Here is a 13,940-nt window from a genome sequence, read left to right on the forward strand (position 1 = left end):
GGATTACAGGCATGAGCCACCATGGCCGGCCTGAGAGGACAGTTTTCTAACCCTAGTGGCAAGGACTTACTGTTGTAAGTGACCCCAATGGTTCTTCCCAACTGTTGTATAGATTTGGAGGCCAGCAAAGAGCTTTTCCAGTGGGTTAGAAGACCTGTTCTCTACTGTCATCAAGAGTCTGACCATCGTTTGTTCCCTCTCTCCAGAGAAATGGCACACATTGTGTTAAGCAAGGCAGCTACAGTCCTAAAGAATACATGTGCCTCAGATGTGCATAGCAGCTGGCTATGTGTTCATCCTCCCCTCACTTAAATAAAGTACTCCTCCTTGGACCTCTAGGCTGACAGTTCCAGGCAGCTCGGTAGTCCCATTAGTGGCCCTCTGTAACTCAGGCCCCATCCTAGCCCTGCAGCACCTTAGGGAATGACGGCCCTCCTGTTTGGTTTAGAATGCTCATATTCTCATTTATTCAAGTATATTTCAGTTGCAAATGTATCTGTTAACTGGATGAATTGGGAACATAATGAAAATATGAACTGGATTTTTAAAATCTTTGTATCCAGAGCATCTAGTGTTTGCCTAAATTCCTTCAGAACACAGTCATAAACAGGAAGCCCTTGGGTCAAATTCAGTTTGTCCTGCACAATGTTTTGTTTCTGAACTGTTTATTGAAGTGTATGTTACCAAAAAAAAACATATCATAATGGTACAACTCAATTAATTTTTACAAAATGACCCCAATCAAGAAATCCCAGCCTCACACTCCATTCTCATACATCCAGAATCCCTCCTCTTACTCCTCAAGTCACAGCCTGAGTTCAGCACCATAGGTTATTTCCTGAACTTTATATAAATGGAATCATACTGTGCATTCTCTTTTGCATCTGGCTTTTTTCATTCAGTGACATGCTTTTGAGATCCATTCGTGTCATTGTGATACACAGTAGTTCATTCTTGTCACTGTATAGTATTCTCATACATGAATAAGCCACAAATTGTTTATATATTCAACTAGATTAATTACCTTTTGGAGAGGTACTATGAACGTTCCTCAGTCTGTCATTTGGGGGTCATGTGTATGTATTTTTGTTAGGTGAAATTGCTGTATTTAAAAATAAGATTTCAACTTCTCTTTAAAAATTAGGCTTTCCCAGTCTGTGATTTCTGGTTTTGCATGGCAACTGTTGTCTCTGGGACTTGTGTTTTTCTCTTCTATACTCACAGGATGTTGTCCACGTCACCCACCCAAGGCACTCCTCAGTCGAGTTGCCTGCATGGCCTTTCTGGGTGCAGTTTTGCCTCCCATATCTAGAGAGTTGAGAGGCAGTTCCTGTAAGATTGTGTTTCTAAAGATATGTTACAGCTACTTTTCCTTCTCCCCACTGTGAGACTTAAGCTAGTCTTCCTCTGATATTTTGCTTCGATCTTTGGTCAGAGGGCCTAGGGAAAGAAATAGGCCCTGGAATAAGATGCTGGGGTTAGGGGTAGTATATTTGGCTTATTCACTCTGTTCTGCAGATAATGTGGTAAAGGTGCAGGCCTCAGGCACAACCCTCCACCATCTTGGGGCTGTGACATGGAAAGCTTTGCCTCACATTTGCCAGAGATGGTGCAGCAGGCACGAACGTGCCATCTGGGAAGAAACTGGAGTTTATCTCCACCCTTTTCCAGGTTATCATTCCAAATGAAACAGTGTACCTCTTCTTCCCTCAAGTATTGTGAAGAGAAAAATCTTCCATTTTTGTTTCCTAAAGGGGTCCTATGGAGGGGACCTAGTTCTTTTCTCCATGCTTTTTAAATTGTTTTATTTTTGCCTCATTGAGCCTTAGTCTAAATATTGAAGAACTAGTTGCATTATAACAGTATATTTAGGAATCACAAGTAATTTACATGTTGCAAACACAAAGATAAATTACAAAATTGAAAAAGTAATATTCTCAGTACTGACAGTTTATGAATAAAAATATTGATTGCCATAAAAGGAACTTTAATGCAAATTTATTTTCCTTTGGCCTTATATATGCTAACCATCGTGAAAATAAAAATAAATTGCCTAATCTAAGCTCTCGTATGATTTCTCACACCCTTTCTAGAACTTCTCCTGGTCTAGACATGGACAACAGTGGTCAAAGTCCAAACACAAATAAGAACAGGGGAGGACCTTGGAAACTGTCTCATGCAAATAAAAGATTGATTGATTGACAGAGTCTCACTCTGTCACCCATGCTGGAGTGCAGTGGTACAATCATACCTCAAACTCCTGGGCTAAAGCAATCCTCCCATCTCGGCCCCCCAAAGTGCTGAGATTACAGGTGGGAACCACCTGCACACAGCCCAAATGAAAAGGTTTGATAGGTGAGGCAGGAGCTATAGGAGCAGCATGTGTCAGGAGTATATTGTGGGGCACACACACACCTGCCAAAAAAGTAGGCAGTTTGAATTTTCTGATGTTCTTTTGCCAGTCTGTGGTGTCCTTCACATTCTAAATGAATTGGAATAGATTGTACAATGTTCTTTTATAGTAGTAGCTACAAGAAAGGCCGTCCACCAATCCATTCATTCAACAAATAGTGTAAGTGCTATGGAGAGAAGCAGGATAGGGGTGGGGGTGTCAAGGGTGCCCTCCCTGTCAGGTGACAGTCACAAGACCTGAGGGCTGTGAGGGAGTTAGCCGTGCCATGCAAACACCCACTTTAAGAATGTTCTAGGCCACTGAATTCTAGGATGTAAATATGCATAACATAGGGTTTTTTGTATAGTAGATGCTTAAAAAAGCTTCTGTGAAGGGATAAGTGATTAAGATTTCATGAGTTTTAATGTTCAAGTGTCCCTCATGGTGGACTAGGCACTTCGGTTTCTAATGAACTTATTTTATACTGTAGGTTGTGACCCAGGGGCAGTATTCAACATGCAGATTGTTTGGAGCATATAGTATTTTTAAAAACCAGGACATTTGATATCGAAGTCCAAATTTACAATGTATTTGGAAAAATATGAGCTGGAAAAACTGACCCTGATGTCCTATGTAGCAGCAATTTGCTGAGCACGTAGGCCCTCCATGGTTCTCTGCTGCCCTGACCTCCTCTTACCCTCTCCTCACAGCTCTTCCTGTTGCAGGGACTGGCTTCTGCTGTGTCATGTGGCTGAGCTCACTCTGTCATCCTACTTGAAGTTTCTAGTTCTGAAAAATGAATTATAATAAATTGTCACTAAATGTTCATTCCGTTGAATTTATGAAAAATGAAGGACTTATACAATTTTGTTTATTATATTTTGCATGTGTCAATTTTTTTTTTTTTTTTTGAGACGGAGTCTTGCTCTGTCACCCAGGCTGGAGGGCAGTGGCACAATCTCAGCTCACTGCAACCTCCACCTCCTGGGTTTAAGCAATTCTCCTGCCTCAGCCTCCTGAGTAGCTGGGATTACAGGTGCAGGCCACCACGCCTGGCTAATTTTTGTATTTTTAGCAGAGATGGGGTTTTGCCATGTTGGCCAGGCTGGTCTGGAGCTCCTGACCTCAGGTGATCTGCTCGCCTCGGCCTCCCAAAGCGCTAGGATTACAGGTGTGCACCACCACACCCAGCTGTGTCAAATATTTTTAATGAATGTCTGAAGTCAGTTTGCTTTGAGGAATCTGTACAAGTAATGGTTTTGTTTTAAATAAATTTCTTACCTCTTTCCACTGAGCAGACCTGAGAGCAGTGAGCACATCTGGTTTCCAGATCTGTGTTTCTAAATACTGTTTCCCACTAAGGGAACCAGGACTCCTTGGAGAAATGGCCCACAACAGGTCTGGGCCAGAGAAGTAAAGGTTTCTGAAAAAGCTTTCTTGTACCAAGAAGTGTGAAAGTTTGCAGAGTTTACCAAGGACTCAGAAAAGGAACATAGAAGCCACCATGAAGGGGCAGTTTGAGCATCTCAAAAAGAATAAAAACTGGATTATAACACATACAATACTAAATCCTTTTTATAATAACAGAGAAAAGAGGGTTAAAAGGATCAGAGTTTTTCCTTACAGAAGAATGTCAACTAATGAATGCAGAAGGAATAACAGAAAATCACCACAGTGAAACCTCCAATATAATAATTGATTTAAGGAAAGATAATCAAGGGAAGCTAAAACAATTAAGTCAGCATCAGCAACACAGTGAGATCCTGTCTCTACAAAAAATAAAATAGAACAGACATGGTGGCACACACCTATATATGGTGGCACACACCTATAGTCCCAGCTACTGGGGAGGCTGAGGTGGGAGAATCACTTTTGGCTGGGAGGTGGAGGCTTCAGCAATCACACCACTGCACTCCAGCCTGGGTGACAAAGCCAGACCCTGTCTCAAAAAATAAATAAACATATAAAACCATTAAGTGAAAGTTTGCTCGATAGCAAGAAACTGTACTTTGAGTACCCATACAACCATTGTGTTTTTCACTTTCAGTACAGCATTCAGTAAATTACTTGAGCTAGTCAGCACTTTATTATAAAATCAGCTTTGTGTTAGATGATTTTGCCAACTGAAGAATAATATAGTATTCTGAGCACATGTATCTAGCTTAGGCCGAGCTATGACATTAGATAAAGTTTAGATGTATTAAATGCGTTTTGACCTATGATATTTTCAACTTACGGTGGGTTTATCAGGGTGTAACCCATCATAAGTCAGGGAACATCTGTATTATTCATTGGTGAATATAAGTGAAGGGTATGTAGATGCTCATTGTGAACTTAAACTTTTCTGTGGCCTTGAAAATATTACCAAATAAAGGGGGAATAAATGCTAAATAATTGGAGCAGATAAGGCAGTTTGCCTTAAATTAACTTTAACTCTTTGATTTATCCTTCACTCTAGTGAAATATTTACCGCCAAATTTATTTTAAGTTAATTAAGATGTTACGTTAGACAGGGATTCTTAACTTGGGTATATGAATACTTAGAGAATTTGTGGAAAGACTTTATGAGTCTTTTGATACATGCCAAGTGTTTTTATCTATGTATTTTTCTGCATAGAGGATCCATTATAGCTTTCACCATATTTTCTAAGGGGTCCATCCTTCAAATAGTTAAGAACTGCTGCCCTAGAATAGATTTACAGTTTATAATGTATTCTTTATTCCTAGTGTCACAATACTAGTTAAATTCACTTTCCAAATGATTCACATATAAATTTGATGTTTGTGAATGTAATTCCCAGTTTAGGCAAAACAATGAACCTTCAGCAGATTACAACTTATAAAAAGATTTGCTTATATCAATTGATAGTTTAATGTAAGTTTATTTGACCACAGAGATTCTGTTACTTAGAAACACACCAGGACATTTTAATAACATGATGTATTCCTTTTCTTTTCCAAACTAATATGTATTTAGTGTAATCACATGTTATTTTTAATACAGTCCTGCTTTCCCTTGTGTGGATTCACATTCTTCACATTTTATACAAAGGAAAAAATATGCTAGACTAAGTTTTGATTTTATCCATTTTCATACAGAAAAGGGAACATAACTTCACAGAAGAAATGGTCATGCCTTTATGATTTAGTTGTATCACCACTAAAGTTTACTTACTGAGTTTAGAACATTTATTCCTTTACAAATAACAGTATGTGACAGACTGAAATCCAGCCGGGCTTACAGTCTCGAATGCTCCTGTTCACCTTGTAGACATGTCATAAGCTGAAGCCTTATTTAAGACATGTAGAATCAAACATGGACTAATTCAGGATTACACAGTTTACAGTAGATTTTCCTCTGAAAACCTTTTACAAATGCCTCTGATTCTGTTGGACTAGTTTCAATTGAGCTGATGGTCGTAGGGCCAGAAATGAATAGGAAAGGAACAAACTTGCTAGGGAAGCCTCTGCCCAAAGTTTGCTATGTGGGCTACAGATGGAAAGGCCTGGGTTTGCCAGTGCAGACTGTCTTGCTATACTGTTGGTGACTCATTCAGCGGTTATTTCTAAGGGAAGAATTCATTTATAGGACAGGCTCATTGATCAGATACTTCTCTAGTTTGGCTGACTGTTTTAAATACAATTTTCCCCCTTTTTAGGTATTATAAGTAATCACAGTGAATCACACAGATCAAACTTAATTGTCTTTCCTATGGTCAGGATTTTTTTTTTTAATCTTATGATGAGATGTCATTTACACTCTTTGAGTTCCAGTTTCCTCACCCACTTGGCTCCCTCAGCCTGGAGATCCTGCTCAGATGTTCGTGTATACCATGGTTCACTCTGTTCCGTGCCATGGACATGATCATACAGTAACACAGAAGAAAGGCAGTCAAACTCAGGTTTTGTTGTTAATTTCCCACCTACTCCTCAGGAGAGCCACGCTGTTGCCAAGGCTGCAGGGTCCCCGCTGGACCCCCACTGGCCCACAGAGTCCAAGGGGTTTACTTCTGGCCCTTTACAGAGCATGTGTGCAGAGCCCTGTCTTAGTGTATTAGACCCACTCCTTTTTCCACTATATTCAATACCAATCTAAGAAATCAGTTATTTTAAATAATTAATATTCACCACACTCAGAGGCCTGGAAGCCTTGAGCGAGTTAAGTAACTTCCTGCTCACCAGTTTCCTGTAGTCTGTCCCTGGAAACATTGACACTCACCTTTATTATGTCTACCCTGTGCCCAGCACCTCCACAGGATATCAACTTGTTTAGTCTTCCCATCAGCCCTGGGAGGCAGATGTTGTTTCCTGATTTTGTGCACGAAGAAACTAGAACTCTAAGTAACTTGGCCAGGTCCATGGCTAGTACTGATTCTAGTTGAGAGCCAAGATACTCATTATTGTTTTTTTAACTACAAGAGATGAATCTCCATGTTTCACAGACTTTGGGGGCTTAAGGCCTGTAATGGTCATTTGGTGTTAAGTTAGAGCTGGGCAGAAACTTCTTTTCATGGGTACTTTTAATATTTTTGAATTTTAAGTCTATCAAGGATCTGAATTTACGTTCAACCATGGATAGATAAATAGTTCAGTCATCTGTCAGTCTGTAAATGTTTCTGCCATGAGGACATTTTCTATCCTTTTTCTAAATAAGGGAAAGAGGTGGAATCAATATCATAAAGGGTTTTACTCCGCCCTTTGGAAGTTTCACTTCAACAGCAGAATTTGAGTATTTCATTCTTTTAAGTCAGCATCTTAGGAACATAGTAATTTATGGTATGTTTAAATGATGGCTTTGGAAGGCATAGTCAGTGTTGCTATTATGCAGAGCAATCAGATTGATTACTAAGTATTACCAGTTGTCAAAGCATAACTTAATTGTTTAAAAAATTTACTTAGCTTTCTGAGGTCCTTGTCAGAAATGTTAATAACATAAATGATTCCCTTTTACTTTTGTGACCCTGTATAAATCTTTTTCTGCTCAGTTTCTAAGTTTTTCTGTGAAAATCCTTAAATTTTGCAGGTTCCTTTCTTTTTTATTTAGGAGTAATGTCAACTTTGGATAATATCAACTCTTTGGGTAATATAACTCATAAGCTGAACCAGTTTTGACTGGGAGATAAAGGAGATGGAACTCTTTATTCAAGAGACGTTTTAGCACCTACTTTGCACAAATTCAGGGGTTTAAGAAATGAGTTGTCTCTGTTAAGTTTTACAGTCTTTTTGGAGAAACAAGCTATACCGCTCAACCCAGCTACTGTACAGCACCCATATACACAAAAAAGTAATCAATACCTAACTAATAATTCCAGATAATCATTATGTAGGACCTAACTAATAACACTAAAGAGATAATCACTACAGACCTACCTAATAATACCAGATCTGTCCTGGGTAGCGGCACAGGCACTGAATAGCGGGGGTTTTGTGGGGCTGGGGGTCCTGAGGAGCTAGGCTTTTAGGTGCAGTTCATCCTGTGCTTGGAAGCTGGCTCTGTAAGGTGAAAGGCTCAAGTCAGATGGACACTGCAGTGAACTTGGCTTCTGTGTCCCTCCCTTGAAGTTGAGGATCGGAGCCCATCAGAGATTGGCTCAACTGCCCTTCTCTTGTAGGCCCCTTCAGGTATACTCCTTGCCTGTGCATTCAGCTTTGACCTCATACCTTCCCGTCTTTACTGTCCTCTCCTTGTCTTGCCTGACCCCCATGGTGACACCCCAAGTTCAGCATTCTCTCACAGATGGCCCCTGGCTCTCAACTTCTTAGCAGCATTATGAGAATCAGAGCAGTTTCTTCTTTGGTCCCTTTTCTGTGTGCCCCTTATCTGACAAGATAACTATTCACTGAATTCCTTTTGATGTCTCTCGTATCTGTGCTGTGAAGGCTCTCACTCTCTAGATTTTTGCAGTGAGTAATTCTTTTTCCTTTCTTAAACTGCTGCTTTCATGGAACACTTCTTGCTTCAGCATTTTTCAGTGGTATGCTGCATTTCTCATCGCCTTGAATCTGGTCTAATTCCTGGCCTGAGGAGCCCTCGTCTTGCCTCTCCTTTCCTGCCATAGTGAGGCTAGACTCCTGACCAATAAGCCCAGACGTGAGTCCCTCCATCTGCTTCCCTCACTGATTCACATTCCTGTTTCAAGGTCCATTGATCTTTCTCCTCTGAACTACGTGTATGTGTTGTATGGTTTAGTGTTAATTATATCCTGTATTATATCACAGTCATCTTCTGTTACTCCCCACCTAAATTAGTAAAATTAGAGAAACCATTTTTGCCTGAAGCACTATGCCTAACACAAATATGCTGCCAAAAATTTGGGGTTTTATCCTTTAGCTATATACCTGTAATTTGTGGCTTAAATTTTCATATACTTATGCCGAGTCTAAAATAATCTTAAAACAAACATTGTCATAATTTGTTAACATTTCCAAGTCACTTTAAAGATTTATACTACATATTATTAAACAGTTACTGGAATAATTATGTGTGAGTGGGAATAATCGTCTTGATGACCCCTGGAGGTGTCCGTGACAACTAGAGGACACTGTGCATATTTCAACTGTACAACATTGTGGGTAGTTTCTTTGTGTTTTAATGAAAGCAGTCATCTTACGGAGTAATTAACTTTGACTTAATGAGAATGGCTTCTAAGGAGATGTACGTGGAGCCATTTGATGATGCCATTTGAAGGAGAGGTGGTTTTGAGTATCTTTCTCCCCTCGTTGGTAACACCTGCCATACCACATGCCCTATACCCTCCGGTTGAGCATCAGCCGCCCAGGTTCGGACCTTTTATTAGGCAGCCTGCCACTCTTGGGTCCCCTAGACTTTCCATCCAAATTCTAAGGGAGAGACAGCTTGGTTCAGCAGGAGGAGCACCAGCCTCAGAGTCAGAAGATGCAGGGGAAGTCCAGACTCAGCCACATATTCCCTGTTGTTCTCATGTGCCACCTGCCCTCACTGAGCCCCAGCATCATCACCTGCCCTGCAAGGAGGTTGGTGAGCTTGCAGCACTGTGCTCGTTCCTACAGAAGCTTGTCGACTAGCCATTTAAGGCGGTCAGGGGCCCAGCAGTCTGCTCAGGGCTAATCTCACCCCACTGCACTGGTGCTCAGAAGGAAAAACAGGCAGCCTCTTCCTAAGGCCAAGCCTCTTCAGCCTGGATGCTCCAGGAATGTAGCTGGAGCTGGAGAAAGGGAAGAGAAGGCTGCATGTTCTTGATGGATTTTAAAACCTAGTGTGTCATTTAGATAGTACCTAGTTTGTTGATTGTAAGAAGAAAAGGGGGATGGGAGTGAACACTTTCTGATGAGAGCAAAGCTGCTTTGTTTGAAGAGAGAGGTCTGTTCACTTCCTTATCAGTGACATGAAACCCCTAATGAACCCTGTCTGAAAACCACTGATCTGTTCCAAACATGTTATTTTATAATTGAATCAAATGAATCCCAAAGAAGTAAAATGACTGCATAATTATTGAAGAACAAGATGGGCTCCCAAGTCTCTTGGTTCCTGGTGTAGTTATTTCATTATACCAGGTTCTGTATGTCTTTCACTAAATAATTTCTTTAGTGCTGCTTATAATATTCTTATTGATAATAAGCCAAATCTCAAAATTATACTGTTCCTTGTATATATATACAAAGACAAGACACACCATTAATATTTTTAGATCATGGCTAGACCAGGACTTCTTTAGTGTATATGTGTGTTAGTAATTATAGTGTAATTTTTGAAGCCAAACAGAACATCTGTTTTTTAGTACATTATATTGTGAAGAGTGTTTGCTATAAGGACATTTATCACTTTTTTATGGAATTAAAACTTCCCATCTAGAACATCATGAAATTTCAGGGCTGAACAAGTTCCATGCTAGCCATATTTTAAAAATTATAAAATCAGTAGAAATAAGTACAACTTCCACTTAAGAAAAAAGCTTCAATCAGTCATTCTGATTTTCATTTTTTTCTTGGGATTCTGCAGCCAGAGCAGAGTTGAGAAGCGACATACACAGCAAGCCCACAGTGCGTCTGCTCCACAGGCACCGGTCTGGATCTGCTGTTAATCCAGGCCGTTGAGGGTGGCCGTAGTCTCCTGGCGGCCCTCAGGCCCCAGTGTGCTCGTCGCATTGTCACCCATTTTTCTGACTGCACAGCACTTGCCTGCTTACTTGTCTGTTTGATTTCCTGCTTATTGCCTCTACCAGAGAGGAAAGGCCACATCTGATCTGTTTGTCACTGTCTCTAGAACAGCATCTGAAACACAGCTGAATAAAGTCAGAGTAAGAAATGAATGAATGAATCGTTTAGTATCTGTCTCTGTGTCATCCCAAGATGCTAGTTCTGCTGACTCACCTTATTCAGTTTGAGCCCCCTTTAATACTAATTTTGTTTACAGCTTAGATTGCCTTAAACCATTTATGTCAATGTGTTTATATTCATACATCAATAAGTGTTGCACAAGGGTTGTTAAATGGATGTGTAACCCTATCTTCTTGTTTTTACCTGTCTCTTAAAGTCAACCTGGCCACTTTAAAATTAGTAATGCACCTTCATTCCTAAACTGATTATGAAGCTCAACTTTTGTTCCATAAAATTCTAGTTTTCTTCCTAACAACCTGCTATAAGTCTTTGACTCTTGAGTCTAACAGTTATCTTCATATTATTATTGTTGTTCATGTTATAATCTCTGAATCCTACCTATTAAGAAAGTAGGCTTAGAAGTAACATTATGGAATAAGTCTTGCCTGGTGCAGTGATTCATGTCTATAATCCCAGCACTTTGGGAGGCCGAGGCGGTCTTATCACAAGGTCAAGAGATTGAGACCATCCTGGCCAACATGGTAAAACCCCATCTCTATTAAAAATACAAACATTAGCGGGGAGTGGTGACGCATGCCTATAGTCCCAGCTACTCAGGAGGCTGAAGCAGGAGAATCGCTTGAACCCAGGAGGCAGAGGTTGCAGTGAGCCGAGATTGCACCACTGCACTCCAGCCTGGCGACAGAGTGACACTCCGTCTAAAAAAATAATAATAATAACATTATGGAATAAGTCAAACTTTTCACACTCATGAAACTGAAAGTCACCCATGAAATTGTCAATTGTGGTTGGCTATGCTGGTTCCTCTCAGTTTTATATGAGATAATAACTGCATTCATCATCCACACCATACTTTCCAAAATGCTTTACATTCTTTTCTAGTTCTTATAATAGCTTTGTGAAGTGGGGATGGAAGGTTCCTAGAGTGGTGAAAGAACTATTAAATGATTAAATAACTAAAGCTTAAAAAATTAGAGAAACCTATGCAATGAGGCCAACACTGGCACTTAAGTTCCTAGCCAAGACATAAAACTGAGAGTAACAAAAGAAGTCAACATAGTTTCTATATGTGTCTTATAAATTACTTTAGCAATACAAAGATAAAAATCATTATGTTAGAAAATTTTAATATATGATTTTGGTAGGGCCAATACATAGTAAAGACATAGCTTTATTTCAATTGAACCGAATAAAATGATGTATTTCAGTAAATTAAGGCAAAGGAGATAGATGCTATGACCAGTGGTGCAAAATTTTTCAAAAATTTATACATTAGATTTACCTTTACAAGGTTATAGTCAAGAATAATTAATTTGTATTTTAAGCAAACTCTACTGCTTTTCAAAAAATGTCTTAATCTTGAGTGAGGAATAGTGAAGGTAATCTTAATATACTGTTTAACTTTAAAAAATAATTTTAGAATTATAGAAAAGTTTCAAAAAGAGTATAGAATTTATGCACACCCTTCTGCCAGCTTTCCTTAATGTTAACAATGTACATAACCATAATATGATTTTCAAAACCAGGAAATTAACATTACAGTAGTGTTTTAATTTTACACATGTAATTAATGGAAGAAATGAAAGCTACCCCAATATTCAGTTATATTTATACCAGTAATTATAGCACAGGACCTTATAAGAAATTAACAAATTATTGTTTTAATAATAAACAACACTTATTCATAAATTCTGCCTGCTTTTTTTGTTGTCATTATGCTTCTTAATCTTGAACCAAAAGATACATAATTTTTAAAGGGACTTACAGAGTTCTCAGCTAACACCAGTATTCAAGTTGATTATAAAGGCTGTGTTTATTTTGTTCCAGACTCTTCTGGTCTAGCTCAGTATGCATAATATCCTATTCTAGTGAGATGGCCTCTTTCTAGAGGTAGGAAACTGAGAGATTTTACCTTTACTATTAATAAAACTCCTAGAGACTATACCTTTTAGGTATATTTTGGTTGTTCATCTGTGTGTTAGTGAATCAGGTTGACTAGCATATAATGATACTGAGTATAACAGGAGGATTATGTCTCTCTTATTAATGACAAATGCAGCTACTACAAATACATGAGTAAAGTTTATAAACAGCAAAGGAAAACTTGGAATTACTTGATGTTTTGTGGTTTAAGAACGATACTTGAGTATGATCTTATGCATGAAAATGTGTAAGATGGTATTTCTCTAATTTTAATATAATTGTTTTCAAGATGAAGATGTTCCAGATTTGAGTCATCATCCTCTTCAGCATTGCAAATTTCTTCTGGAAGAATGTTCCTAAGGAAAAATAGACATGCAAGTCACACATGGTCCCAGTAATAATCTGCCTTTAGGAGTTAAGTTTAACATTTGTTAAAAAAATTTTGTTCTTAAAATAAAGTTGGATCCTTATAGACCAGAATAAATTCCAACTACGTCAGAGATTCAAATGTGAAAGATGAAGCCATAGAAGCACTAGAACAGACTGTGGTCACACCCTCTGACTCGGGAGATTCTTTCTGTATGTGATTTGAAAACCAGAAGCACTGAATGAAAAGATTTAAAATTTACTGCAGGTTTTAAAAAGAAAGTGCAAAGTTAAACAACATGACAAAGAAGGAGAAAGTAACTTATATCGCAGATACAAAGGCTTCCTAAGAATCTAGGAGGAAAATGGAAAATGCTCAGTTTCATTCAGAAGAGAAATGTAAATTGAAACTTTACTGGCATACCACTTTTTATTTATAAGGTTTGCAAAAAAAAAAAAAAATCCAGAAGCTCATTAACATATTCTAATAGTGAGCCTGGACCGATCAAATACCACTGAAGAGAATGCAAAATGGTGCGCCACCTCTGGAGAGGAATTTGGCAATATCTAGTAAAATTACATACACACTTTACCCTTTGCACTCTGCATTCCCACTCCTAGGATTTTATCCCAAAGTTAAACTGGAAAAAAACAAAATGACATTTATACAAACTTATCTTTTGTGGCATTATTTTTAGTAGTAAGAGTGGAAACACATGTCTATCAATACGGAACTGATTGAATAAAATATAGTATATCTGCATAATATTCAGTTGTGAAAAGGAATGAAGAAATTCTCTACATACTGATGGGGAGTGATATACTGATACTTTTAAAAAGTAAAGGGTAGGCTGGGCGTGGTGGCTCACACCTGTCATCCCAGCACTTTGGGAGGCCAAGGTGGGTGGATCACCTGAGGTCAGGAGTTCAAGACCAGCCTGAC

At 38.9% G+C, this 13,940-nt stretch overlaps 2 protein-coding genes across 10 annotated transcripts in view; one reads left to right on the forward strand and one right to left on the reverse strand.

The window, feature by feature from the left end:
• Positions 1-13,940, forward strand: part of CENPP (centromere protein P) — a 295,062-nt gene that overhangs the window by 158,029 nt on the left and 123,093 nt on the right. Inside the window, exon 6 of one of the 4 annotated variants that reach the window (XM_011518689.2) lies at positions 10,371-10,680. The exons of the other annotated variants lie outside the window; for them this stretch is intronic. Within the exon in view, the coding sequence (XP_011516991.1) occupies positions 10,371-10,385 (15 nt within the window). The 3' untranslated portion in view covers positions 10,386-10,680. Of the gene's footprint in view, positions 1-10,370; positions 10,681-13,940 lie in introns of those variants that run through there. 4 annotated transcript variants of the gene reach the window in all.
• ECM2 (extracellular matrix protein 2) overlaps positions 10,051-13,940 on the reverse strand; it is a 65,560-nt gene continuing 61,670 nt past the window's right edge. For 5 of the 6 annotated variants that reach the window (XM_047422899.1, XM_024447436.2, XM_024447435.2 and 2 more), the window contains one exon: positions 11,819-12,987. In XM_047422899.1, the coding sequence (XP_047278855.1) occupies positions 12,819-12,987 (169 nt within the window). In that variant the 3' untranslated portion in view covers positions 11,819-12,818. Of the gene's footprint in view, positions 10,654-11,818; positions 12,988-13,940 lie in introns of those variants that run through there. The other variant, NM_001197296.2, reaches the window with a different exon arrangement.

This window comes from Homo sapiens, chromosome 9 (genome assembly GCF_000001405.40).
Source record: "Homo sapiens chromosome 9, GRCh38.p14 Primary Assembly".
Lineage (NCBI taxonomy): Eukaryota > Metazoa > Chordata > Mammalia > Primates > Hominidae > Homo > Homo sapiens.